Genomic DNA, 25,228 nt, shown 5'->3' with positions numbered 1-25,228 from the left:
GAGAGTTCAGTTTGCCAAAATTTCAAACTAAAAGTCTAGGCCAACTCCTTATCTGTGTCAGAGGTTTCCAAAGATGATAGGTAGCATGATTTAACTCAAGCGTAGTTATCAGCCTGGAGTTTTACTCCAGCCTTTTCTACTGAGTAGGGCAGAACTACGCAACAGCTTAAGGACTCCTTTTGCTTCTCCAGCTAACGTTGAGACCATTGTTTCTCAAATTATGACCAGTGGACTACCTGTTTGTGAACCAAGTGGGAGTTTAAAAAAAAAAATGCAGGCTCCTGAGTCTGCTGAAATGCAATCTTTCAGCTGGAGTACTGTGATGGGAATTAGTATTAATCAAAAATCTCCAGTAAATTCTTATGCCCACTAAAAATCGAGTGGGTTGTTTCCAGAAGATTGGTCTCACTATGAGTTCTGTGAAAAACAAAGGATATTGAATTCAGATAAGTTAGGGAACGTCAGCAAACTGTAGGGAAAGAATGTACTACAGCATCCTGTTACTGTGCCTGTTACTTTTGCTCATGCCTTTTAATTGTCTGTCAGCAGTAAAGAAGGAAGAATTACATATCATATTATTCAGAGTTTTGGGATAGTGACTGGACTGTAATGATGATTCGATGCAATCACTGTGTCTTAAAAGCATAAACAAGGCTGCAGTGCTCTCCCACACATCCATTTACACAGCTGTTTCTGTGCAGATGTGGCTGATTGTTGTCTCTTCTTTCTCTCTCCTCCAGATACATAAGTTAGACCAAGGCCGGTGAAGACCTCTGCCATATTGCTCTCCATCCATTTACTCAGCTTCCTTTATCCATGAGCCTGGCATGAGATAGTAATATTTAAAGACTTAAACCAGGGGAAGATAGGAAGCCCCTTGTATGCCTTAAATTACATATTATGTGTTTTAACATTATCATTTACAGGGGAGCCCTATATTGGGGCATTGGCTACTTGAAGAACTATTAATAAAATGGTTTTTCCTTATAGATTTTACTTATCCAGAATTCTATGAAAAGAAGAGGTGTCTTCCAGGCCAGGATCTAGGCATTTTTAGAATTCAGAACTAAATTCCCCTCCTAATTGCCCTAAGATCTTATCTTTAAGCCTACAAAGAACACTTTACCTTCCTTTTAGAGACTCATAATTCATAGTGGCACATGTAAGCCTCCATGAGTCCTACACATTGAATAAATTTGCTTACCCTCACTTAATTTGAAATTTTCCAATCCTGTGTGCTCATGGTACCCCACTGAGGTAATGTCACTGAGGGCACATTTTGGGAAATGTTAGTGTAAATGAGGAAGTTAGCAAACATTTTCTATAGAGAGCTAGATAGCAAATATCTTAGGCTTTTACAGCCATATACTTTCTGTCACAACTACTCAGTGCTGACATTGTAGCACAAAAGCAGGCATTGACAATATGAAAATAAATAAGCATGGCTGTGTTCCAATAAAGCTTTATTTACAAAAACAGATGGCAGATTTACAAAACTTTATTTACAAAAACAGATTGGCCTGTGGGTTGTAGTTTGCTGACCCCTGGTATACACTAAAAACAGTCAAGTGATTTTTTGTTTGCTTTTTGTTTTTCTGTCGTTTTTTCTTCTAGGTCCACAACCTGATTCCATTTTTAAAGCCTTATTTCTTTGATGAGGAAAAATATTGGAGGTAAAAAACAGAATTGATTCATCTTTTTAATATAAAACAATTAGACTTTGTTATAGCTTTCATTTTCATTATTTTGATTACCCCCACCTTTTCCATCTGCAACAAGGCATTCTTGCCAGGACAACTGGCTTTCGGGAAATTAAAATTCAGAAGCACTAGGCAGAAACCCAAAATGGGAGAAAACAATGTCAGGGCCAAGAAAGGATAGGCAAGACAGAGAGAGAGAGATCCTAAAACGGACGAGAGAGCCTTTGCCCCAGTGTGTTTCTACTGTTTTTCCCCCGTGCCTCCCTCTAGAGCCTTTACTTTAAGCAAAGTGGCCTGGCTGGTCTCCCCAGAGTCCATTTTGTCCCCATCCATACAGAAGGTCTTTCTTTTCCCTGAGCATAGGGAGAAGTTAATGGAATGGAGAGAGGAGAATAATAAGTCAATTTCTTCCTATCTTTTGTGTGTTGTTTTAAAAATAATATGTTAATACTTTAAGTAATTATTCATTTCACGTTATAATCCTTATAATCCCCTCTCATGTATATGCTTCTTTTTTACTAGCAAAATTGCATCAATCTATATTCTCTGTCTCCACATCCTCATATTCCACCTTTTCTTGGAATCACTTCACTCAGGCTTTTCTTTCCATTGCTCCAGGAAAGCCACTCTCATCAAGCTCACCAATGACCTCCAGGTATCAATTATTTATCCTCTTCTTGTTCAACTTCTCAGCAGCATTGATTTTTTAAAATTCTCCTCTCTATTGAAACACTTTCTTTCTTGACTCCCTGAATACCACTCTCACCTTCTGACCACTTCTCAAACATTTCTGCACTACACTCTAATCCAAGCTACCTTCTTCTCCCACCTGGTCTATCAAATAGCTTCTTAACCGGTTTTTATTTTTTTATTCCACTCTTGCTGCCCCCACTTCTGACTGTTCTCCACGGAGGAGACCCTCCTGGTTGATTTGATGCTTTAAACCACCTTAATCTGTTCAAAATCTACTAATGGCATGCCAACATATTTAAAACAAAACCCAGACCCACTGCATGGCCTACAATGTAAAATGTGGTCCCAACAACCCTCTGCCTTCTCCCCCATCCCACTGCATATGAGTTACACTAGGCTACTTCTGGCTTATTTATCACGGCCTTTGCACTTGCTGTTGAGCTTACCTGTAACATATTTCTCCCAGGTGCATGGATGGCTTGCATCTTCATTTCATGCAGAGCTCTATTCAAGTATCACATCTCAGAAAAACTTTCTCTGACCAACATTTTTAAATTAACCACTCCTTCTTCACTGTCTGTCCCATTTATCCTACTTTAATTTTATTCAAAGTGCTTATCACTTCTAGTTATATATTTATCTGTTTGTTGTTCTGTGTGCCTCTGTAGAAAATAAGTGCCCCCAGGGCTCTTCACTACTGTATCCCCAGCATTTAGAATATTTCCTAGAACACAGTTGGTTGGTAGATATTTGTTGAATAGGCTTGGTACTGGGACATAAAACATTCGTAAGGTATAATACTTTGTATTAAGGCTATATAAATCTAATCCAAGATGTGGAATAGGAAATGGTGGAGAGTCATGCATACAACTACAAAGATGCAAGACAGAGTATCTGGTATCCAAAAAGGAATAAGTAAAATTTTATGAGAGCATGGTTCACTTCAAAATTACCCCTATGACTAGGGGAAGGGTTTATGGAGAGGATGACATTAAGCTTAGAACATTAGATAATGCATAGTATTTTGTCTGAGAAAGGAAGAAGGAACAGCATGAAAAATGCTAGAAAGGTAAGAAAGCATCTTCATTCATTTATTTAATGAATATTTATTGATTTTCTATTATGAGCTTGCTAGGCATTGTTTTAAATGTTGGAGATTCAGGAATTGAATACGAGAAGAATACAAATTACAACCTCAAAAAGTTTACATTCTAAGGAGAATAGTCAATAAAAAATAAGCAAAGAAATATACAAATAATTTTAGATTATGACATAAGCAGGATTATAATAACATATTGGAGGATGGGATAAAGAGCTCAAAAGAAATGGGGAGAAAATTAAGGCACTGCTTGGAAATGACTTACCACAGAAGTTCTCTAAGGGAAATTCTAGAACCAAAGGATGAAAAGGAGCCAGCTCTGTGCAGAGGTGAAGGAACATCATACCAAGATGAGAGAACAGCAAGGTCGCAGGCCCTGGAGTGGGGAAGTGAACAGTCATTCACATGTTCACTGACTATTTCTGGTTTCCTACCTCACAGGCACAATGTAGGATTGCTCTTCCTTGTTCTTGAATTAGATGGGGACACATGACTAGTTCTAGCCTCTAAATTATAAGTAGAAGTAATGAGTATCAACTGCTGATACAAGATCTGCCAGAGGATGTTTTCCCTGTAGCATAACAACTAACAATTGTTGAGATCAATGGCAGCTTCATCATCCTAGATCCCTGAGTGACTGCAATAAACAGAGCCCCTCTGTGATCCATAGTAAACAGACAATAACATTTGGGTACTCTGTGTGTGTGTGTGAACACATGTTTTCTTTCTCTTGGGTAGTTATCTAGGAATGAAATTGCTGGGTCATATGGTAACTCTATGTTTAAGAAACTGCTGAGACGTTTTCCAAGTAGCTATATCATTTAACTCCCACCAGCAATGTATAAAGTTTCCAATTTCTCCACATCCTCACCAATACTTGTTATGTCTTTATTTTTATTTGTTATTATAGCCATTCTAGTGGGTGTGAAGTGGTACATCATTGTGGTTTTGACTTGCATTTCCATAATTAACACACAATTTTGTTTATATCGGGCAAAAATAGGTGCAAGGAGACCACTGAAGAGGCCCTTTCAAAAGATCAGATGACAGATGACAGACAAGGTGGTAACAGTGAAGAGGGTATGAACTTCCACACAGCACAAAGGATTTGCCTAAACATTGTGCTAAGAGACGTGACCAAACTTTAGCCTGGCTGCCACCTGCACTATACCATGTCCCTTAAGGTGACACACAATGCCACCAAACCATGAAATATACATTGTTCCAACCCACAATCCCAAACCATTTTCAGTAATTCTTCACGTACTGCCCTCTGTAATTTTCTATTGCTCCACAGCTCCCTTAATCTTTTTTTTTATTTCCTCCTTTTTACTTCCCCAGAGCTCCTTTGTGTTTTCTCTGTTTTCCCTTTAAAACCCTCTGTCACATTTGTCTTAGCTGGAGTTGAGCTCAGTGTATACTGTGTCTCTCTCCCCTGTTGAAGTAGTCTGAATAAAATCTGTCTTGCCAACTTTAATAAATGTCTGGTATTGGTCCCTTTTGACAAGGGAAAGAAGATATATTTCAGAAACAGAATGAAATGTCATGCTGAAGAATTATATGCAGGGAATGAAAGTAAGTAACAAATCAAGGTTGACTTCTGGGTTCTTGGGTTGAGTAGCTGAGTGGGTTGAGGGTGTCAATTACTAAGATGAGAAAGTGTTGAAGAGGAACCTGAAAGAAGAAAAAAGAGAAATTTTAAAACATTGTTTTGAAAACGTGAATTTGACATACCTATAATATATCCAATTAGAGATAGTAAAGAGTCAGCTGGATATATAAATCTGGAACACAGGAAAGAATATAGTATTGTAGTTATAAATTTCAGGGCCATCTTTGTCCATTTGGCATTTAAAGTCATGGAGTGAATGAGGTCACTGTATGTGAATGTGTAGACAGAGAAGATCATCCAGAACCAACAGGTAGAGAAGTCTAAGAACTAAAGGTAGGATTGAGAAGAAAGAAACAGTAAACAAAAAGACAAAAAAGGATGATTAAAGAGGCAAGAGGAATATTAAGAGAGAGTGGTATTCTAGAAAACAAAAGAACAGCTTCAAGAAGAGGTCAATAGTAAATGGTGAAAAAAAGAGTTCAAAGAAATGTCCACCTGTTTTGGCAACAGGATTATCATGCACAGAAAAGGTTTTGGAGAAGTAATGATGGTAAAAGCAAGATTGGAGTAGATTAAAGAAACAGTGGAAGACAGGGAACCTGATGCAATGAATACAGAACACTCCTTTAAGATTATTTACTATGAAGAAGAAGAGAGAAATATGATGATGAAGAAGTAGAATGTGGATCATGGGAGGGCAATGTAAAATGTGAGAACCCACAGTGTATTCATATGCAATTGGAATAATTTGGTTAAAAGGAAGAAACTGTGCTGTCAGAGGTAGGGGAAACCACAGAAGTGAATCATTGAGGAAGTTACAGTCTCTGGCACCGAGAGCACAGGAGACTGACCCTTGGTAGAAGCAATGAAAAGATGGAAAACATAAATATAGATCCAAACAAAGGTATGTTCTGGATTTGATAATGTGTATATGAGAAAGTCCCCCCTGCTTCTATTTGTTCAGGCAAGGTTATCAGATATGGGGACAGGGATGGTAAGACACCTGAGGGAGTAAAGTATGAAAGAATTGTCCTGACAAGGAGAAACCATGCTTACCAGGATGAAAATTCTAGGCAGTGTGAGGTCCATTTGAAGTCTGACATCTTGAAATTAAGCTGCAATGGGTCACCCTACCATATGTGTGTTTTTCATTTGGGTACAAATGCTCATCTGTTTAAATTCAGGTTCAGACACGGTAAATAATTAAATTCAATCTGAATTGGGTTTAGCCATACCAACATATCAGAGGGCTAGAAAGGCAATGTCATTGAGGATGTTTACAAGGGAATGATTACCATGATGAACAAGAGCGTCTAAACTGGGTAAAAAGGCAAATGTAGGTAAAAGAATAGTCGGGTAAAATGATGAGGTCAATGCATTGGAGACCCAGTTGGGGTGAAAATATTGTTGTAGAGAGAGGACTAGATGAATCAAGACAAAGAGCACAGAAGCTGGCAATCAGGGAGTAAGATATTTGAAATAAAGATTTCAGAGGTGACACAGTTACTGATGATACAGGTTGAGCACTCCTTTATCGAAATGTTTGGGGCCAGAAGTGTTTTAGATTTCAAATTTTTTTCAGATTTTGGAATATGTGCACTGTACTGATTGAGTATCCCAAATCTGAAAATCTGAAATCCGAAATGCTACAATAAGCATTTCCTTTGAACATCATGTTAGCACTCAAAAAGTTTTAAATTTTGGAGCGTTTCAGATTTATTTTGTGAATTTCGGATGCTCAACCTGTAATAAGGTCTAGGCAATAGTGGGGAGGAAGGCAAGAACACTGGCAGAGATCAATGTGATCCCAGTGGCTCATCTTCTAAGAAGTTAAAGTTATCAGACATTCTGATGGGCACACAGCTTCTGCAAAATTTTTACATTGTATTTAAATTAAGAAGTACATGTTCTTAGCCTACAAAGCCTCAACATTAAAGGCCAAACCCTTGGGTTGCAGATATTTTTAAAAATCTGAAATAAGTTGTCACAACAATATTGAAGTCTGTGAGAATGGTGCTGTGTGAAATTGTCACTGCATAGCTTGTGTAGCTGCATACAGCAGCCCTGTAACCAATGGTTAACCTCATCAACAGTCTAGTCCAGTTATTCTCATCTGGGGATGATCTTCTCTCTCAGGGAAGACCCCAGGGGGATATTTGGCAATGTCTGAAAACATTTTTATTCGTCATAACTTGTGGAGACTGTTATCTAGTGGGAGAACTGATATCTAGTGGACAGAGCAAAGACACTGCTAAACATCCTACAATGGACGTGACAGCCCCGCTGTCTCCTGCAATAATATCTGGCCCAAAATGTCAAAGTTAAACTCTAGTCCTAGAATCTGAGCATTCCCTTTCCTTTCCTCTTACCAGGAAGACATATACATTCTTCAGAAGCAAAATACCACAGTGATTTCTGTATCACTATGGAGCATAGAGTTTGTGCAGACTCCTATCTCTGACCCATTCCCTAATCTCTCCTTTTCCTCCATCCACCTATGTTTCTGATGGCAACTTGTTTTCATCCCTAGCTGAACATAGAGAAAGCAGCTGTAATCACTAAGTCATTCAATTAATTACAGGATGCATAAAATTAAGGTAATTAAGAAGGAAGAATTAGGTCAATCCTTCTCAATTGGCTATACTCAACTTATCTTGTAAGCTGTTAGTCTAATTGTGAAGCCTCCTTGGGCTCTGAAAAATGCCCCAGTGGTATTTCTTGCCTTCTCTGACATTAGCAATTTGCCAAAGGGCTTGCAATGAGAGTTCTATGTTAAGTATCTAATACCTGCAAGGCCAGTTCTGAACACAGTCCTGGCCCTCCTAATCCACAGGTTTTGTACCAACCATGCGTTGAAAATATTCAAATTTTTTTAAAAACTTAAAAATAATAATAAAGCAATAAAAATAATACAAATAAAACATTACAGTGTAACAACTATTTACATAACATTTACATTGTATTAGAAGTATTGTAGAGATTATTTAAAGTATACGGGAGGATGTGCATAGGTTATATCCAAATTACCACAAATGTGATGGCTTAAAACAACAAAAATGTATTATCTTATAGTCCTAGAATAAGAGGACTTGAGAAGTTCAAGATCAAGGTATTGGCTGGGCCCTGCTCCCTCCAAGGCGTCTAGGGGAGAATCCTTTCTTACTTACATCTTCCAGCTCCTGTTGCTCTAGGCATTTGACTTTCTCCAACAGAACTCTACCCTCTGCCTCCATCTTCACATGCCCTTCTCTTCTTCCTGTATCTGCTCCTCTTTTTCTTTTATGAGGACACTTGCCATTGGATTTAGGGACTACCCAGATGATCCAATATGATCTCATCTTGATATCATTAACTTAATAGCATCTGCCAAGACCCCAAGTAAGGTCATATTCAATATTGCTGAGTGTTAACATTTGGATATTCCTTTTATCTTTTTTTTTTTTTTCTTTTTTGAGAGAGAGTCTTACTCTGCTTCCCAGGCTGGAATTCAATGGCACAATCTCAGCTCACTGCAAACTCCACCTCCGGGGTCCAAACGATTCTCATGCCTCAGCCTCCTGAGTAGCAGGGACTGCAGGCATGCACCACCATGCACAGCTAATTTTTATATTTTTAGTAGAGACAGGGTTTCACTACGTTGGCCAGGCTAGTCTCGAATTCCTGGCCTCAAGTGATCCACTCATCTCAGCCTCCCAAAGTGCTAGGATTATAGGTATGAGCCACCGCGCTCAGACAAATTTCGATATTTCTTTTTAGGAGGCACTATTCAACCCACCACAGAACGCATGATCACAAAATGATTAGAAACTGATAATCTGGATATTTTACCAGTCCACCAATAGAACCATCCATTGGTGATGTTTTCAACTTGCCTACCACTTCAATAAAAAGACATAAACCAAGCAGAGGGTGAGGTACTAGAAAGGCACACACCTTGCCATTTCTGTAACCACTTAGCCTGGGGACCTCAAGGATGACTTCAATGGCCTTTCAGAAGTGCTTGAATAAGTTGGTGGAGGTTCAGAAGAAAAGAAGCATTTAATTGAGAGGCCAATTATATTAACCATCTTAAAGCCTTTTAGAATCACTCATTAGTACAGCTCTATTTAGGTGAACAGAGTAACAAAACAGTGCCATTACCCTTAGGAAAGTGAGAAGAGTCAGGGGAATGCATTTTAAAGGCAATGAAAGCTCAGTGAGATTGATGGGCTTCACAACTACTTCAATTTGTTCACTTCACTACTTTATAGTTTTCAATGAGTGTCCCCCAACTCCATTATGTTTATTGGATGAGTGCCAATGGACACTGGAGGTAAGGGATAATAAGAATTATGTTACTATTATCCTTAATATTAAATTGTATAATGCTGCATCATCAAAATATGAAGAAAATTATATTTAATATATAATCACTTTTAATCACTATTTTTCAAAGCCTAAGTTAGATGAAAAGCTATTCATCTACCATGAATCACTGGAATCTTTCAAGCCAGATAATATCTACATTATGCTTCTCTGAGCTTGTAACTAACTATAAGATTATCTGAGATATATGTGAAGATATGTGCCAAAGACAGATGTGACTGAAATATATTCATAGCCACAAAATAAAGTAATAAGTGTTTAGTTCAGTCCTTGATCCTCATCAAATTATTAACCTAGCAAGATACCATTTTCTCAGTGAGCTTCATTGTTTCATTTTGTCAAATTAAGGGCATCATCTCTGGAGTCATGCAATATATGCCCAGAAAAAAATAGAATTTCAAATTCATATAAGTTTGGAAAGTGCTACAAACTATTTATCTTTCTTAGATATTCATAATTCACATTTGAACACTAATGGTTCTGAGAAGCCCTGAAATAAAAGCATATTTATGTAAGCCATTTTGCAGATATCAGTAAACTCTAAAGTTTACATGAAAAGCTAACCGACCTTAAATAACTGAAATAAAATGGAAGAACAAAGTTTGAAGACTTCCATTACCCAATTTTAAGACTTACTATAAAGCTTTAGTAATCAAGATAGTGTGGTATTGGTGAAAGAAAAGAAACATAAATCAATACAACAAAATGAAGATCCCAGAAATAGACCCACACAAATATTGTGAACTAATTTTTTTTTTTTTTAAATAGAGTCTCACTCTGTCACTCAGACTGGAGTGCAGTGGCACGATCTTGGTTCACTGCAACCTCTGCCTTCTGGGTTCCAGCAATTCTCCTGCATCAGCCTCCCAAATAGCTGGATTACAGGCGTGCACCACCACACCCAGCTAATTTTTGTATTTGTAGTAGAGACGGGGTTGCACCATGTTGACCAGGCTGATCTCAAACTCCTGACCTCAAATTATCTGCCTGCCTCGGCCTCCCAAAGTGCTGGGATTACAGGCATGAGCCACCACATCCGGCCCTTGTGAACTAATTTTTGACAAAGGCACAAAGTTAATTCAATGGAGAAATGATAGTATTTTCAATAAATGGTGCTAGAACAATTGGACATCCATATGCAAAAAAATAACCTATCCACAGATCTCATATCTTACACAAGAATTAACTCAAAATGTATCATATAAATGTAAAAGCAAAACTATAAAACTTCCAGAATAAATAATAGGAGAAAATATATGAAAATTTGAATTTGGTAATGAGTTTTTAAATACAACACAAAAAGCACAATCCATGAAAGATAAACATTGGCAAGTTGGTCTTTACTTAAACTAAAAACTTCTGCTCCATGAAATCACTGTTAAGAGCAAAAAGACAAGGAATAGACTAGGAGAATATATTTGCAAAAGTATATCTGATAAGATACTTGTATCTAAAACATACAAAGAACTTTTAAAACTCACGAATAAGAAAAAGAAACTAATTTAAAAATGCACAAATGATGTGAATAGATACTTCACCAAATGATATGTTAACATTATATGTCGTTAAGGAAAAAAATTAAAACAATGAGATACTACCACATACCTATTAGAATAGCTGAAATCTTTTGAAAAGGAAAAAATAAAAAATCTTGATAATAAATTGCTAGCAAGGATGACATGCAACAGATACTCTCATTTATTGCTGGTGGGAATGCACTTTGGAAGACAGTTTGGCAGTTTCTCACGAGGCTAAATATAGTCGTACCACAGTGTCAAGCAATCACACTTCTAGATATCCAACTGATTTGACAGTTTATTTCCACACAAAAGCCTGCACACAAATGTTTAGAGCAGCTTTATTAATAAGCTTCAAAAACTGGAAGCAATCAAGACATTTATTAGCTGCATTGATAAACCAACTGGTATACCCAAACAATGGAATACTATTCAATGATAAAAATGAATAAACTATCAAACCACTTAAAGATATAGATGAGTCTTAAATGCATATTGCTAAATGAAAGCTACCAGTCTGAAAAAGACCGTTTGCTGTATGATTTCATTTATATAATGTGCATAAGAGTTAACATAGTAGGCCTGAGACTATTAACCATAGGAAAACCTGCTTGCAAGGTTGCTCTTCTGCTAGCATCTGGGAACCTGGATGTAAGAAGAGTTTCCACCATTCCAAGGACTGATAAGAGTGGCTCACTTTGCCTTAACTACTCATGCAAACAATATGGTGTATGTTGAACACCTGCTTCCCTTCTAGATGTCTGGAATTGGGGTATACATTAGGCATGCAAATTTTTTAAAAAATTAGGAAATAGGGGAATCCCAGGATGGAATGCAGAATATGGCAAAAGACTTTAGTACAAATGCATAAAGCAACCTTATTCAAAGGGGTAGGATAAAACTAACGTTAGAAATTAGTGGAATCTATAAGATCAAAGACAAAAGAAACTATACATAAACAGTATACTCTGGTTGATAAAGTTTTTTTCCCAGGGAGTAGAAGTCAAGTCTGAAACCTCTAAGCATATATACTGGAATTCAACAATTAACTAATTGGATGACAGATGATGGAAACCAGGTTTTCATTGCTGAAGCTGGAAACTGCAGAAAAGCAAGGGGAAGGCTAGAATGTTGTAAATGAAGGATTAGAGTTGGAGACATCAATGTGAAATTATGTTTTGCTTAATATAAATACAGATGTTACATACAGAAATATTTATAGATAGGTATACATACATCAATTAATATAAACATATACTTTTTTTTAAATCTGTCAGCTGAGAGTTCCTAGAGGCAGTGGCACACAAGTTTCAAAAAGCATATATAGCCCCCAGGTCTCGGTTTCTAATACTATTCATATATTAAAAAACAGACTCCTTGGAAAATATCTGATTTTAGTACTAGAGCAGAAAATACACAAAATTAGCCTGAAACATCTTATGTCATAAAGTAAGCACATGCTAAAATGAACAAAACAAAAACAAGAACAAAACAAAAACAAAAACAAAACAAAGAAAAAACCACAATGATGAAAGTATGTCAAAAGAACATAGGAAGAAATTTAAGCTCCTAGTAGCCAAAAATGGAATAATTTGAACAACAAAATAAAATTATATTGAATTATAACCCAATATATAAAGTAAATATCTATGAGTCTATATTGATATAAATAAATGATGAAATTAATAAATGGAAGAGAATAGGCAAATCTCTCATGCTGAAAAATTCCAAATGCTTTATGTAGATACTCTGCCCCAAGGAGATAGAGAATAACTTTCTACACATTATATATCAACTGCACATAGTGACTTTCTTCCAAAAATTACAGTACTGCAAAAAAAACAAGAGTAACTCTAAAGTGGGGAAAATTAACAAACACTACCAAAGCCAGTTAACCAAGATTAACACCAACAATGGTTAAGTCATCCTGATAGTATATAGCCTTAATATGATGTAATGAGAATAGCACTTTATCTACACAGTCTTACTCCCAAAAAAGTCATAATCCCAGTCTAATTGTGAGAAAAATATTAGACAAATTTCACTAGAGAGTCATTCTACAAAATACATGACCAGTACTGTTAAAAACTTTCAAGATTACCTGAAACAAGGAAAGCCTGATAAACTACAGTAGCCAAGAAGAGCCTCAAGAAACACGCCATCTTAACGTAATGTGCTATAGTGAATGGGGTCCTGGAACAAAAAAAAGATATCAGAGCCCCCGCAAAAAAAAAAACCTAAGAAAATATGCATAAAGTATAAACTGTAATGAATAATGATGTATCAATATCAGTTCATTAATTGTTAAAAATGTACCACACTAATGTCAGATGTTAATAACAGAGAAAACTGGTTGTTATGCATGGAAACTCTGTACTATTTCTCCAATGTTTCTGTAAATGTAAAACTATTCTAAAATAAAGTGTTTCTTTAAAAACATATTTATATCTGTTTATCCAGAGTTTTTCAAAGCTATTTGACCAAAAATCCTCCTTTTTTTTAATTCTGTATATTACCTACTAACACCCAGTAGAATTCTCATTTTGTAGACAACTCTTTGGAAAACGTCGAGTAAGATGGCTGCTAAGAGTTCTTCCAACTTTAAATCTTTGTCTCAGAAGCTTGGACTAAAAAATACCTGGATGTATGGTACATCGTTTCCAAATGGCTACATGCAAGTTACTACTTCCCAGGAGTAAGAGAATAAAGGTCACCCCCACCCACCTCATTGGTGTTGGTTGATTCTGGTTCAGTGTCCTTGAAGTTTTCCCTAAAATGCTCAGTCTGCTATCCAAATTTCAGCTCCCAATCTTCTAGGATATACAGTGCAAGCACTGTATATCTTCTGTTGTTAGCAGGTCTCTTGTTTGAGAGAGCTATTTTTGTCCAGGTGTGTACCCAAGCAGCACATGCCTGACCTTTCCATTTGGATCTAGCTTCATGTTGCTTTATTATACTCAAGTATCATGTGGGTTCAAGCCATGGCTTCCCTTACAAAGTAGAGAGTTTGGAAGCATCATTTTACCCAAGAGCCTCTGAAAAGGAAATCATGCTACTTACCCAAGACCTTTTCATGAGAATATTGCCACAGTCAAATGAGAGGAAAGATGGCAATAATTACTGTGAACTGCAAGCACTTACCTACCTTTGAAAGGATGATTCCCCTACACACACTGCTGTCTTTCAAGTATTTGCTAACACTTTCAACCTCCTCATAAGAGACACAGCCAAATCTCCTTTATGAAAACTCATCCTTATTTCAAATACCACTTATTCCAGTGACCCTTCCCTGATTCCCATGTCAAACCCCCCATAGTGCTCAGTACTATTTTATATTGCAAATTATCCCTTCCCTTGCTTTTAATTTTTTCATATCTCTCCTGCTATGCTTGTCTCATTTAATATAGATCTGAATGGTATTTTTTATTATTTCTAACTTTTAAGTTCAGGGGTACATGTACAGAATGTACAGATTTGTTACATAGCTAAACATGTGCCATGGTGATTAGCTACACAGATTAACCCATCACCAAAGTGTTAAGCCCAGCATCCATTAGCTATTCTTCCTGATACTCTCCCTCCTCCCAACCCCTACCCTCTGACAGGTCCCAGTGTGTGTTGTTCCCCTCCCTGGGTTCATGTGTTCTCATCATTCAGCTCCCACTTATAAGTGATAACATGCAGTATTTGATTTTCTGTCCCTGCATTAGTTTGCTGAAGATAATGGCTGCCAGCTCCATCCATGTCCCCGTAAAGGACACGATCTTGTTCCTTTCGAGATGGAGTTTTGCTCTCGTTGGCCAGGCTGGAGTGCAATGGTGCGATCTTGGCTCACTGCAACCTCCACCTCCTGGGTTCAAGTGATTCTCCTGCCTCAGCCTCCCAAGTAGCTGGGATTACAGGCATACGCCACCAGAACCGGCTAATTTTTTGTATTTTTAGTAGAGACAGGGGTTCACCATGTTGGCCAGGCTGGTCTTGAACTCCTGACCTCAAGTGATCCACCTGCCTCAGTCTACCAAAGTGCTGGGATTACAGAAGTGAGCCACCTGCCTGGCTGATCTCATTCCTTTTTATGGCTGCATAGTATTCCATGGTGTATATACCATATTTTCTTTATTCAGTCTATTTTATGGATGCCAGTGATGTAGGCAGTAGTAAGGGTGATGGGGAAAGGATGATGAAGTACCAAGGAGGTCAACATGAACTGTTGACTTCTCTTTCCTCATTTGCTGCAAATATCCCAGCAACAGTTAATCTTGTTCATTTAACCTCCTTGGTACTTCATAGTCCTCTCCCCATCACCCTTACTACTGCCTACAACATTGTCATCTATCACTTAGATAACTGCAACAACAATCTTAACAGAACCCCCAAGCCCAGTCTGAGTAAGTCATTCCACCTGACTCCTTGTTGTACTATCAGAACAATCTTTCTAAAAATTCAAATATAATCATGTCACTGTTAATATCTCTTGTTAGCTTCCAATTGTCCTCAGGATAATATTCAAATTCCTTAGCATAGCATGGCCCTGCCATTTTTGACTCTCCAGCATCATTTCTCAGCACTCTGATCTACTCAGAACACTAAGTTTCTTCATGGCTTTTCCTAAGTCATTCTACTCATGTATCTTCCCCACGCCCTTTCATCTGAATAACCTCTAACCATTCTGTAAGATTCCCAGGTGCCATCCCCTCCAGAAAACTATTTTGGCCTCCCTCAAAGCCAAGCTACATGCTTGTCCTGTAAGTTTTATAGCACTCTGGAGATACCTGCAAACCTATAAAAACTAAATATATATTCCACACACTCACTATTATTTATATCTGTATCTTCTTTGGACTGTGAGCTCCTTGTTTGATAAATACACAAATGAATGAAGTATGTACCATACTCCAGGACATTCCATCACTTGTTTGGTTTTTGCTGGGGAAGACTACTCTAAAACAAGTGTTTTCCTTCTGAACTACCTCATCCTATAGCCTAGTTCCTGAGGAACTGGTCTACTTTATAATCTAGACTTCCCTGCTAGTTGGTGACCTATCACAGATTAATTTGGGTCACTAATCTGTTATTCAAGGACTTTGTCTATGCTTAAATCCAATTGAGGAGAGGCTGGGGGGATAATTAAGCTCAGTAAAACAATGTATCAATTTGGATGTAGTCACTAATTGTGTGTTTTTAAATCACACGATTGTCTCAACCAAATAGAAAACCATCCAATTCCACGAAGTCAAATACTTAGACAGCTGGCCCAGTGCCTCTGTGTTTTTCTCAAGAAACTAAATGTCAGTCTTCTGTGCATGGTTGAGCTGGAGAAAACTGTCTAGTGACAGAGCAGGGGTGGAGAGACCTATGAGGAAGGTCCCTCCAGTTCCCGATTCAGGAAATCACTTTTGCCTTAGGGAATTTTGATTCCAGATTGGCTTGTCATTTCTTTTGCTACAGCAAATTAAATTATTGTAACAGACCTAGAGTAGGGGTCAGCAAACTTTTTTTCTTAAATGGCTAGATAATAAATAGTTTCAGCTTTGTGGGCCAGGAGACAAAATTTAGGCTATTATGTACTTAGTAATATAACCATTTAAAATGTAGTTATTTTAAAACATAAAAAATCTCTGTGGTAGCTCTCCATTAGTTTGAAGACTATGTAGCTGGATTTGGTTTCCGGGCTGTAGTTTGCCAACCCATGCTCTAGAATTGCCTGCCCTCTCCATAACAACCCTTCAGGTATTTGAAGTTAGCACACATGATAGCATACCTCCAAACTTTGTCCCACATACAGCCCCTAGGCATGGTCTTGGTCTCTTTATTTCTATCCCCTTTCAAGGTCTCCTATTGAATAGCACTTACAATGTGTTATCTATTTAAAATCACAGCACTCATTGCTTGAGCCCAGAAGTTCAAAGTTGCAGTGAGTTATGATCATGCTATTGCCTTCTAGCCTGGGTGACAGAGAAAGACCCCATCTCTTAAAAAAAAAAAAAAAATCACAGCATTCAGAGTAAATACAATATTCTCATTCTTGTTTGTGTGGCATGAATTTTGGCAAGTGATATTTCTTCAGAATCTGCATTTCTACAGAATGTTCCTTTGTTCTCCACTCCTATCTCTGCTTCATATAAGGAAGACCCAACTCATTATTTAGATTTCAAGTTAAACCTCTTCAAAGCATTATCATATCCCAAACCCTGCCCTCCCTCCCCATCCTTCAATCTCTATTTCAGTGCCATTTTTTGTTTGTTGTTTTTTTCATAGGACATAGCCCAATTTATAATTATCTTATTGATTTGTCCGTTTACTTGAAGGATATTTTACTTGTTGTCACACCAAGCAGAATAAACTTTGAGAAAGCTAGGATAATTTCTAGTTCCAGTTATGATGAAATAGGAAGTATCAGACTTAACCTCTGCTGTAAATGGAAAAAATATATATAAAATAATGTTCTCAGGCACTGGATTAATGTCAGGCTATGATCTTTGACAGAAGGGAAGCACATGAGGTAAAACCCTCTGTGTTAGAGTTCTTAAGAGAAACAGAATCAACTTGATGGATGGATGGATGGATGGATGGATGGATGGATGGATGGATGAGTAGGTAGGTGGACGGATGGATGGATGGATGGATGAGTAGGTAGGTGGATGGATGGATGGATGGATGGATGGATAAATAGGCAGATAGAGAGATGATGCTTATTATGGGAATTGGCTTATATGGTTATGGAGGCCAAGAAGTCCAATGATCTGCCATCTGCAAGCTGGAAAACAAGGAAATCTGGTGCTGTAATTCACTCTGAGTTCAAAGGCCTGAGAAACAAGGGAGCCAATGATGTGAATACTGGTCTCAAGGCCCAAGAACCAAGAACACCAATGTCTGATGGATGTCCCAGCTCAAACAGAGTGAATTTGACCTTTTCCCATCTTTTTGTTCTATTTGGTCATTTAATAACTGGATTATGCCTGTCCACAATAGTGAGGGCAATCTTCCTTACTCAGTCCGCTGATTTAAATGCTAATCTCCTCCAGAAATACCCTCACAGACATATCCAGAAATAGTATCCTATGGGTATCCCTAAGCACAGCCAATTTGACACACGAAATTCTTTCTTCTTGAGGGCATTTTCTAAATTCCGATGCAGAGAAATAGAGTCAAGCAGACAACAGCAGTTTTACTGGATTGAGGAAATGGAGATCAGAGTTCACAGCTGCTAAGATGATTGAAATTTCAGGTGCAGAGAAAGGAGGAAGCAGCAGAGAAAGAGTCCTAACCAGCTGTGTAAAATTACTCCTTGGGTCCTTGGAGTGGCTATTCAGCATCATGATGAGGAAAGTCCTTCATAGAATAAAATTCCTTTAAGTTTAAAAAGTGTTTACATACATCTCCCCTCATAACAATCTCTGTAGAGGATGTGGAATAAGAATTTGCATCATTCATCATCTTCATTCACAATGAAGATTAAAAAATTATCTGAACTAGGAAAGGAAAATGCTGCAGTCAGTAGAAGAGCTAGAACAGGAACTCAAGAAAATTATGGTATTTACTAACCACCTACTCTATGTAGATATCGTGCTAAGCCCTTTCCATAAACTTCCCTACTTCATTTAATCAGCAAATCTGTTCTAACAAATTAGCCTAGTATTTGCCTCATTTTATAGTCTGTCTCTTTACAAAATCCATGTGCTGAAACACCATGCCCCACTCCCTTCCCCAGAGCCTTTGCCTCTGTCCAATGCTTTTTCATGGTAACGCTACTTCTGTATCTCAGCTTCCTCAGAACTGAGACTATCTGTAACTGGGCTCATTAACACCATTTCTTTAGTTTATTTGTTTGGATGTGAGAAGTGAATCTGTTTCCTAGCAACCTTGTCCCCTGCTCCCTCAATTTTCCCTACTCATTATCTTCCCCACGATCAACTACAAATTAGCCAAATTATGGGCAGATTTTAGATTTCCCAGAAATGGAAAGGGCACTTGTAAACATTTGTTCTCTTGGCAGGAAGTGGGTCTGAGGACCCATGCTTATTGAGGACAAAGCAGGAGACGGAATTGGCCATTAATCTCAATGTGTCTACAGATTTGGAAGCCAAGTCTCCCAGGATAGCCATTTAAGTGTCTTTTGGCCATTTCATGGAAGAACCAATGGTAACCCCAAGAAGAGCCATAATTTTAGTTAAAACAGGATCCCCTTAACATCTGTCTGCAAAGTTAATCGTTAATTTGGTAGTTTTACTCTCAGATCTGTTGTGAAATCCACTAATGAGTCCTGCACCTCACCCTTTAATATTCTAAGAGTCAGACAATTTTTCAAACTGACCTTTAAACACTCTCTGTAGAAACATGAAAAAATGCCCCCTACACCAATATAAAACACAACTTGGAACTCATGCAGCCCCTATCTAATGTGTCTCCTCAAGCCAAGGGCTTTCCACTCATTCATAATCTGTATTAAAGGCAATTTTCACAAACATGGTCCTTTCTGGGGTTATTTCCTAAAATGTTCTAGGAAATGAACTGTGTCCAGGAACCAAAGCGAACCCTGAGTGGAATATAAACTATCATTTTTCTCTTGTATATTTGTTGTTTATTCAATACATATTTTAAATACCTACCATGTGCCAGACAACATTCTAGACACTGGAGACGCTGCAGAAAACAAGTCAAAGGCCTTTGTGCTAGGCCTTAGGAATGGGTTTCTTCTTCCAGGCCCATCTTAGGATTTTATGTCCCTGCCAAGGTGATATCAGGGCTTCATTTGGCCAACAAAATATAGACGGTACTGATGTGTGTCACTGTGAGGTACTAACTTTACCCACGGCATTTTTTTTGCCATGTTCTCCTTTCCCTCTGCCTCAGCAACTAGCCTGGGTCCCGGAGTTAGGGAAATGCATAGTAAGGTTCCCAGAAGACCCAGCATGGACATATATCATCAACTACTGCAGGATTTGGCCAGCAGCCCGCAATGCAGTGGGGCTCTCTCTTTGTTTCCAGGCAGATCGGCAGGTCGAGAAATAATAGACACAAACAAGATAGTGAAAGCTGGGTCCAGGGGGGTCACTGCCTTCTGGTCCTGCGGTGCCAACAATGCACTGTATATACCAGCATTTATTATTAAGTTTAGTGAGGGCAGGAGTAGGTTAGTGAGGGATTTAGGGTCATTTGATTATGAGGTGAGATGGTCACATGGGGATGAAGTAATTTTTTAACATAACATCTGTATGCAGAAGTACAGTATACAGGGATAAGAATTTACAATATTGTGTGTGCATCAGTAATTTCTAACAGAGCCTTAAAACAGAAACACAGTCTTTCCATAACCTATGATTAGCAAGGTATTTATCAGCAGTAACAGTTGCAGCAAAAGCTGGTTACAAACAATCCATAGAAACAGGACGTGAAGCTAGACAACTGGTTAGACCAGAAATTCTCAGAAGGGAGTATGCCTTAACCCTAAAGAGGCCCAGAAGAGCCATGGCAAGATGAGGGCATTTATAGCCCTATCTTATCCATATGGACAGGCGCCCCCCATGCGTCCATTTATAGGCTTTCCACAAGCGTCGCATTCCATTCCCAGAGCTATGAACATCTGCTTTTCTGGGATAGGAATCTTGGTGATGTGAAACTTCCCTGACTGCACGTCCATTCATAGGCTCTCTGCAGGAGGAAGCACATCATGCGCTGTTGGCTCATTCTGGCGGTCCAACCTGGCATTGTCTTTACACAATCCTGCATGCAATTTTGTATTTAAAATAATCAGGAGCATTTCATCTTTTATTCCGTAGCAATAGTTTCAGGGGGTCTCCCTACAATCAACAAAGCTTCAAAGTTGCTTTACAGCATTTTAAAAAAAAAATTAAGCCTAACCTTTTCTGTCTCAGCTGTTATGGACACACAGATTCAAAATTCAATCTCTCAAGATTTCCACCACAGTCCAGCCTATCCAGACCATCTGCCATAAATGCCAATAGTCACACCAAGAAAACCTTACTTCTCTGACATAAGAGAGTTCTGCGGTGACCTTAACTATAATGGCAATGGCAGGATATAAAGAGCCTCAGACTGGAAGAGAGAAGGTGAAGGCCCTTGTTTCTGTAGGTTGGCTCAGAATCTGGTGTGTGCAGATGGCAGATGGCCGAATAAGTCACAAGTTTCCAAACCTGACCCTGTGTCATATTCACTACGTGATCTTGTTAAAAGAATTCCCTCAGCAGATTACTAGATCTCAGCGGGTGCCCTGAAATTAAGTACCTCAGGGTGATTTTTATGCATCCCGTGGATTTTGGAGTCATGGTTCTAAGTTATAAGCCTTCTCAGAACCCATATCATGTTGGTCCTCCATGTGACAGAATCTCCACCTTGGTTCCTGATTTGCACCCCTATTCCCTTTCTGATATTGGGATTCTGTACTGAACCCGAGCTTACTGGGCTGGAGCTTTGACCATACATACATCAATCCCTTTGTTCTGAGAAATGAATCCTGTCTCCTGAGCTCTCAGACACGTGACACCTTGTGATTCAGAGGAATACCACTCTTTGAGGAGGCCCTGCTGGAACTCATTGTGGTACATAATTTTGCGATACAGGTAACCCTGCAATCTCTTCTCAGAGAAGAAGCCTCCACTCACCAGCCCCTGTTGAAGGGGTGAGTCAAGGTAGGTGTGTTTTATTATAGCATGGGATCCACTGGAAGTTATAGCCCACTTAACACACACAAAAAATCCAATACAAGGAAAGCCAACCTACTAACTGCCTAACAAGCTAATGTTCTACCTTGAAAGTTTGAACAAAGAAAAGAAAAATCCCTGATCAGAGACTAGCGAATATTTATACTGAAAGTTACATGGAATCGGGGATAAAACAGTCATTCTCAGCCATGTTCTTACTGAGAAGTTATCTCAGAAAGTTAAATGCCAGAGAAAGCCTATTAACATTTTTTAATACAGCCAGAGAGAGAGACAAAAACAGACAGAAGAGGAAATTCTATCCTTAGAACATTTTAAGCAAAATATACAATTTTTGACGCAGGGTGTATACTGTTTCATTTTTGTGAAGTGCCCCTGTAAACTTTCAAAACGCTCCTTTCCTTGAACTAGCATGAATGGGGTTGGTTTCTCACAAATAAAAAATTTGCCTGCGTTGAATTCCCTCAAATGATGAACATGGGTCTTATTCTAGCCTGGAGTTACCACTTGGACAAATTGAACTTTTACCCAGGATCAGGCCAGCCTTTCCCTCCAGCCTGGGCCACTAAAGCCCCAAATTCCTCTCAGCTGAGTCAATCCTAATTAAGTTAATATTTCAACAAGATTGCTTATTTTTACTTTCCCCTACTTCCAAATTGAAATAGCTTTATTGTTCTCTTGGTACTTTTCAAAGTATTGAAACAATCAACCAAACCTAGTCGACTAAGTATTAACTAGTTGGATAGATAGCATATTAAAATATATCACATCACCTTAATAGAGAATTCCCTCCCATGCTTTCTTAGAAATCCAGATGTGCCCTGATTTAAGGAAATTTATAATTTTTAAAAACTCAACTTATAATAAACTGTGAGGGTAAATTTGCTTTTCCAAAGCAGCTCTTCAAATTCAGAGCACTCTATGCCTACCTGTAGGCATTTATTTCAAAGATAAAAACTGAGTGGAGATGGGAGAGAATACAGTAATGTCCACTGAAGGATATCTTAGAGAAGCATAAAAATTAATAGGAAAACAGGATTTGATTTGCATAGCATATTTCCAAGACATATCACTTACTACTAATGATCAACCCAGAGAGCCATTACTCTTGAGATTCTGGAATGAGCTTAGCTGACTCTAACCTCATCCAAATCCACTCAAGACAATCCCTAGGAAATGATTTCACTTATTTCCAATAATCAAATTTCTATGAACTGTTTACACAATCTCTTCACAACACAAATATCTCAATGCTGAGAGTCTTTACTGCCTCCACACCTTAATGTACCAATTTATTTATTCCTAAAATGCAACCGGTATGACCTAGGACACTCATTAAGAAAGGGAAACTGGGTTCTCAACAGACTCACCAAATTTTGCTCAGTAACACTCTTCCAGAGTAAAGAGAAATGTGCAAAGCATGAATTTATTGGAGGGAAGATGTAAGGTGTTAACAGTATATTTATCTACTCATTATATAGGTATTAATGAATGTCTTATATAATCTATCGTTAGTGATTATATTTTTCTTAAATTTATATCTGAGAAGTTGGTAAGTAATCAATTTTAAAGCATTTATTATAGCATAATGGTTAAGGATGTGGCCCCCAGAATCAGTATCTTAGGTTTGAATCCTAACTATAAACCTTCTAAGGTTTAGTTTCATCGTCTGTAAAACAGGAATGAAAACAAGGATAACCTTGCAAGATGATTGTGTAAGTTAAATTATATAATCCATGTGCAATGGTTTATTTTGTCAAGTTGACAAGGCCACAAAGTACCCAAACATTTGCTCAAACATTATTCTGAGTGTATCTGTGAGGATGTTTTTGGATGAGATTAACATTTGAATCAGGAGATCCAGTAAAGCAGATTGCTCTCCCTAATGTGAGTGGACCTCATTCAATCAGTTGAAGGCCTGAACAGAACAAAATGGCTGACTTTCCTTTGTGTAAGAGGACACTTCTCCTGTTTGACTGCAGGAGCTAGAACATTAGTCTTTTCCAATCTTCAGTCCATAGCACTGAAACTTTGGCTCCTCTTGGGTCTCAGGCCTGCCAGCTTTTTTATTAGAACTTACACAACTGGCTCTCCTAGTTCCCAGACCTTCAGACTCAGGCTGGAACTACACATTGACTCTCCTGGGTCTCCAACTTGCCAATTGCCGTCCTTGGGATTTCTTAGCCTCCATAATCATTTAAGCCAATCCTTATAGTAAATCTCTATTTCTCTGTCTCTCCACCTATTCACACACACACACACACACACACACACACACTCACTCACTCTCTCTCTCTCTATCGGTTCTGTTTCCCTGGAGAACTCTAATATGTCATGTAAAACATTTAGCACAATGCTAGACCCATAACAATCACTCAGTGAAAGTTTAGCCATTTTTATAATCAAGGGACTGCCTTGGTCATTGGTGGAAGCAACCACCAAAATGACTCAAATGAAACATTTACTTTCAGAGAACTCGTGGAGCTTATTCCCTTTAGCACCTATCCTTCCCCTTTAAAGCACACACAACACATCACCACTGTCGGTTTGTAAGTTCTATGGAGGTCCCAAAATAAATGTAAATCATGTTCCCCTCTAGGATGCTATCAAACTGAGGAATTCTGGAGGAACTGCAGGAGTCATGTACTGGTATAAAAATCCCAAGAGCCTCTGGGGAGAACCTAACCTCACCAGACAGACACACTTGGCCCAGGAACAAAGCCTCAGTCCTGGACAAGAGGTTACTTATAATCGGTTGACTGAAAATATAAAAAGCCAGTCCTAAAGAGATATCATCTTGTTTCCCATTAAATAGAAGTACTTAATTCCGTTTGCACTTTCTCAGCCCAGACTTTCTTCTTTTAATCTTCCAGAACACAGGACAGAATTAATTTGCATGGTCAATTCATCCTATACAAGGTTTAAATTTATCTTTTTGAAACCAATCTGCCACTGATTATCTCAGGAGTTAGGAGGCCAGAACATGGATCCAGTCTCCATGTAGATCAAAGCTACTACAGGCTGAAAAGTATTTAATGCTAACACTTGATCTGAGAGGAAAGAGGACACGACACGAAAGATGGTGGACAACGTTCTCTCTCCTGCAAGAACAGCACATCCCATCCTTGGAATGTTGCAGAGGCCCTGCCTAATGGTGTTTCTAGCCCTTCCCTGAAGCTTTCTAATCCCCACAGCTATAGCCACTCAGTACCCCATGCAGGTTCAGACACACTCTAGAAGTCAAAGACCTAAGTTATTACCACAGGTTCAAAATAAAGACACTGGAAATTTCAGAAATAACTCAAAAAAGCTTGAAAAGAAAATAACCTGTAATCAGAGCAGCAGCAAAGATAAATCTTTCCAGTATTATACTCACAAGCACACACACACAGAGTAGCATTATGTAAAAATGTTGTGTAACTTGCATTTTTTTTCACTAACTGCATAATTTGATCATTTTTTCATGTTATTAAACAATCTTCATTATTTTTATGGCTTTGAAACACTATTGAATATAAGTATTATAATATAGCTAACTAATCCCTTTTTGTTGGACAGGGGAT

General features: G+C 38.2%; 1 long non-coding RNA gene across 1 annotated transcript in view, besides 5 other annotated features; it reads right to left on the bottom strand.

Annotated features, from left to right (window-relative positions):
• Positions 1–529: 529 nt before the first annotated feature.
• LOC105378237 (uncharacterized) overlaps positions 530–25,228 on the bottom strand; it is a 40,775-nt gene continuing 16,076 nt past the window's right edge. The window contains exons 2-3 of the long non-coding RNA XR_944433.2: positions 3,758–3,868; positions 530–822 (exon numbers count right to left, since the gene is read on the bottom strand). This is a non-coding gene — a long non-coding RNA (uncharacterized LOC105378237). The remainder of the gene's footprint in view (positions 823–3,757; positions 3,869–25,228) is intronic.
• Positions 1,812–1,981: an enhancer, noted in NCBI's record as "experimental_82589 CRE fragment used in MPRA reporter constructs". NCBI's record gives its function as "activates a minimal promoter by MPRAs in K562 erythroleukemia cells, with activity observed for the introgressed 5:151756636 or rs55689355 variant allele {active_cell/tissue: K562}" and the evidence as "EXISTENCE:reporter gene assay evidence [ECO:0000049][PMID:34662402]".
• Position 1,896: a transcriptional cis regulatory region, noted in NCBI's record as "Neanderthal adaptively introgressed variant 5:151756636 (GRCh37/hg19 assembly coordinates) or rs55689355 in the experimental_82589 CRE". NCBI's record gives its function as "modulates activity of the experimental_82589 enhancer by MPRAs in K562 erythroleukemia cells {active_cell/tissue: K562}" and the evidence as "EXISTENCE:reporter gene assay evidence [ECO:0000049][PMID:34662402]".
• Positions 8,632–8,801: an enhancer, noted in NCBI's record as "experimental_82586 CRE fragment used in MPRA reporter constructs". NCBI's record gives its function as "activates a minimal promoter by MPRAs in K562 erythroleukemia cells, with activity observed for both the introgressed and non-introgressed 5:151749816 variant alleles {active_cell/tissue: K562}" and the evidence as "EXISTENCE:reporter gene assay evidence [ECO:0000049][PMID:34662402]".
• Positions 14,533–14,702: an enhancer, noted in NCBI's record as "experimental_82580 CRE fragment used in MPRA reporter constructs". NCBI's record gives its function as "activates a minimal promoter by MPRAs in K562 erythroleukemia cells, with activity observed for both the introgressed and non-introgressed 5:151743915 variant alleles {active_cell/tissue: K562}" and the evidence as "EXISTENCE:reporter gene assay evidence [ECO:0000049][PMID:34662402]".
• Positions 20,889–21,058: an enhancer, noted in NCBI's record as "experimental_82576 CRE fragment used in MPRA reporter constructs". NCBI's record gives its function as "activates a minimal promoter by MPRAs in K562 erythroleukemia cells, with activity observed for both the introgressed and non-introgressed 5:151737559 variant alleles {active_cell/tissue: K562}" and the evidence as "EXISTENCE:reporter gene assay evidence [ECO:0000049][PMID:34662402]".

Source organism: Homo sapiens, chromosome 5 (genome assembly GCF_000001405.40).
Source record: "Homo sapiens chromosome 5, GRCh38.p14 Primary Assembly".
NCBI lineage: Eukaryota > Metazoa > Chordata > Mammalia > Primates > Hominidae > Homo > Homo sapiens.
The sequence above is the reverse complement of the archived record's forward strand: the minus strand, read 5'-3'. Positions and strand labels throughout refer to the sequence as shown.